Source organism: Homo sapiens, chromosome 18 (genome assembly GCF_000001405.40).
Source record: "Homo sapiens chromosome 18, GRCh38.p14 Primary Assembly".
Classification (NCBI taxonomy): Eukaryota; Metazoa; Chordata; class Mammalia; order Primates; family Hominidae; genus Homo; species Homo sapiens.
Genome location: NC_000018.10, coordinates 10,437,233 through 10,440,992, shown reverse-complemented (window position 1 = coordinate 10,440,992; position 3,760 = coordinate 10,437,233).

The following is a 3,760-nucleotide window of genomic DNA, read 5'->3' as shown; positions in this document are numbered from 1 at the left end:
AGTGAAGGGAGTACCATTTCCTCACAGCCTCAGAAGTGGGAAGTGAGCTCGCATGTTTAAAGACCTTCTACATACCTGACAGTTGAGACAGACTGTGGATGGCGGAAAGAGGACTGGACAGAGTCAGGAGACCTGGTGCAACCCGGGCTATCACTTACTAGCTTTGTGAAATTACTAGCTTTGTGGGGTCATTACAGCAGATCTCTGGATGCCAGTCGCTGTATCTGAAAAATGAGCATCATCATCATAACTATCTAAGGGAACTGTAAGAATAAATTACATGACGTTTACGACAGTCCCTGGGACATAGTCGGCATTCAGTGCCCTCAGATGGTTTGGTCTTTGAGCTTTGATTACCTCCTGAGATGATGGTTAGAATCATGCCTGTGTTGTCGGAGGGTCCTTAAGATTCCTCTCCCCATGGCCTCTTCTTGTACTTCTTAGCACGCTTGAAGAAAAATCCCTTACGGGAGCCTCATGCTCTGGGTTTGGGCTTCCTGTCTCCAACAGAATCCAAGTTTTCTTTGATCATGAGAAAAGCTGTGTCCTGAACCAGGAAAGAGGTCAAGGATAGGAGGAAAAGACAGAGAAGGCATAGAGTCCAGGTATGGGGACACGAACCGAGAGGCAATGGGGCTTAGGCAGGGGCTGGGTCTGTGTGACCACCTCACAAGACACAGAAATGAGAGTTCCTTTCTTACTAACTGCATTAGGCATAGGAGGACTCCCTTTGTGTTCCTGGGGGCTTTCTGCCTTGGGGCCCCTTGAAGTTACTCAGGCTTTCTGCATGGCTGCCCCATGGGGCTGCCTGATTCTGCACTGGAGCTCCTGAGTGGATTCCGGCCCCTGCGACTGTGTCAAGAGGAAGCCAGGTTTGAGGACTGGCTGATCCTGGGCTCTGCAGGCCCACGTGTTTTCCTTTGACTCAACCCACTTGAAATTCCCTCCATCTTCTCTAAAGCTCAGAAGGAGGAAACTGGCAGGCCTCCTTATAGAAGGTATCTAGGAGATGAAGCCAGGGAAAACAAATTGGGAATAGAAAGTAACGTGTTGAGACGTGAAGATGGAGGACGACGCTGGACGTTGAGATGAGAGGTCAGACAGGAGAGCTGACTCAAATCTCCGACACCTGGGACTGTGGTCCTGAGAAGTCGGGGATGCCTGGGTTGCCGGGAGGTGAGCTCAGCGTGTCATATTCATTGTCACAGGCTCAGGCCTGGGCTATTGGAGTCCCAACCCTGTGTACTGAGAGAGGTTGAAGAAACTCCCCATGCCCCTCCCTGTGCTCAGAGAGCTTTTACTCCTAGGTAAGCCCTGCCAGCAAAGTTCATGGAACATCATCAAAGCTTTCCCTAACCCCTAGTAGGTAGAGGTTTTCTAGGGAGAACATAGACTTAGCTAGAGCTTTTTAGGGTATTACTGGCACGTGTTGATGTTACATCATTCAATGCAGCTATAGCTTTGCCTCTTCCCAGGCAGAAAGTAGGTTGGAGACTGGAGGATAGAAACACAGGGCATGACTGGGAAAGCCAGGGAGGAGGTTTCCAAAGTGGTGTGTGTGTGCCTCCTGCCTTAGTTGGGACAGGAAGGAAATAGTAGTACTTTGCCTTATTGTTATTCTTATGTTAAAAATAAGAAATACTGAAGATTCCCTAATTTTTAATTCATAGGCTGGCCCATGATCCTCAGTTGGTCTGTATGTCAGGAAGTCTTGAATCACACATCAAATGCCGTGTGCCCATGGGGACCCCCACACAGAAGGAGGCACCTTTTCTCCCTGTTCCCTTCCAGTCCATGACAGGTGGCATGTCATCTGCCTAGGGTGTCAGCCACTGGATCTTTCACTAATATTCACTAATAATCTTTTTTTTTTTTTTTTTTTTTTTTTTTTTTTTTTTTTTTTTTTTTTAACATGGAGTCTCCTTCTGTTGGCCAAGCTGGAGGGCAATGGTGTGATCTCGGCTCACTGCAACTTCTGCCTCTCAGGTTCAAGCAATTCTCCTGCCTCAGCCTCCCACAGGCATACACCACCATGCCCAGCTAATTTTTGTATTTTTAGTAGAGATGGGGTTTCGCCATGTTGGCCTGGCTTGTCTTGATCTCCCGACCTCAAGTGATCTACCTGCCTTAGCCTCCAAAAGTGCTGGGATTATAGGCATGAGCTACCATGCCTGGCCTCACTAAGAATTTTAAATGGAAATACTTACAATATTTTGTAATGAGATTCTGAGTTAACATGAAAATCTTTTCTACCACACTGAAGTTTACTGCTATTTTATGGTAAAGTTCTTAGAAAAGTTGTCTAATATACAAATAAGTAGTGCATTATTTCTTATTAATAAAAGGCAACATGTTTTAGAAATTCTGACCTTTTCTATAACAAAAATTCATTCCATGTCAGTGGAGAGCTACCTAGCAGGGTTTTTGTTGGGTGGTCGGTGGGAAGCTATCTCCTAGAGAAGCAAGCCTCAAAAATAAATAATAGTAAAAGTGACTTAAAAGTGACTTAAAAAAGAAGGAAGGAGGGAAGGGGGGGGAGGAAGGAAGGAAGGAAGGGTTTCAAAAGAAACACTTGCTGTAGAAAAAGATGAAAATAGATGTTTGTGATTATTTCAATCATTATATGATTTTGTTACTAAAATAATACAAAAACCTTCATATCTCTACTCTTCCAAACTCTTCCAAACTCTTTTCAAACAGTTGGAAAGAAAATTCTCTCAAATGTCCAATTTAATGTCCAAAAATTAAAGTGCAAAACTTTCTGATTAGTTTGCAAAGAAACAGAACACTGCAAAATCTTGATTGAGGTAAGGAAATGAAAACTTTTTATGTAAATTTCTAAAACACTGATGAAATTGGTGGATGGGATTGAAAAATAAGTGGTGTGATTTAGGATGCCCAGCCAATAGAGTTTCTTCCATTTGTAGCTATGTAATGTGAGTCTTGCCATCTTCAGCCACCAGAGCCACTACAGCAAAGAATCAGATAAATGAGCTGAGAGCCAGATATTTAAATCACTTTATCACAAAGTGCTAAGGCAAGATTTTCAAAAAAGCATAGTCAACCATGAAGGAACAAGATTTATGTATCATTGATAACCTTTAAAATATTGCTTGGTTTACCTTCATCTCATCATTTTAAAAATCTTAGTCTTCCTATATGTCTCCTTAAGGAAATAGCAGTGTGACACTTTTTTTTTCTTTAATCAATAGGACTAATGTGGTAAAAAAAAAATAGTGATAATAGACCTCGGCTCTAAATGTTTTATAAATTTGGAGAAATTTGATTTCTTTCCTTCAGGTGAGGCAAATGGAAGATGATCTCTTCTCCACTGAACTTTCTTCTAAAGTTAGAAGGCGCTTTAATTGCACTATATAAAATTTAAAGCTAAATTTAAAACTTCAAGGAGATTACTGAAATTTGCTAATTTCATGTCTCAAATAAGAAGTGAAGGACAAAGAGTATTAACCTGAGAAAGTGTGTATAATTTTAAATGTTTAACTATTTATAAACATATTGACTATGAGATTTTTAACATTATATTAATAAGCAAGGGTCAAAAATAGCTGATAGCAGTACATGAAAAATCATACAGAAATTGTTGACCACTTGACTATAGTAACCTGTTTAATTTAATTGCATTTGTCTTAAAAGGCTATTTCCAGCCTCTAATTTTGATACATTTTGAATAATTGGTTTACTAAATAATACCAGTTTTTTTTTAAAGGGCTCATATAAATGATATGCTGTAAAGTGGAAT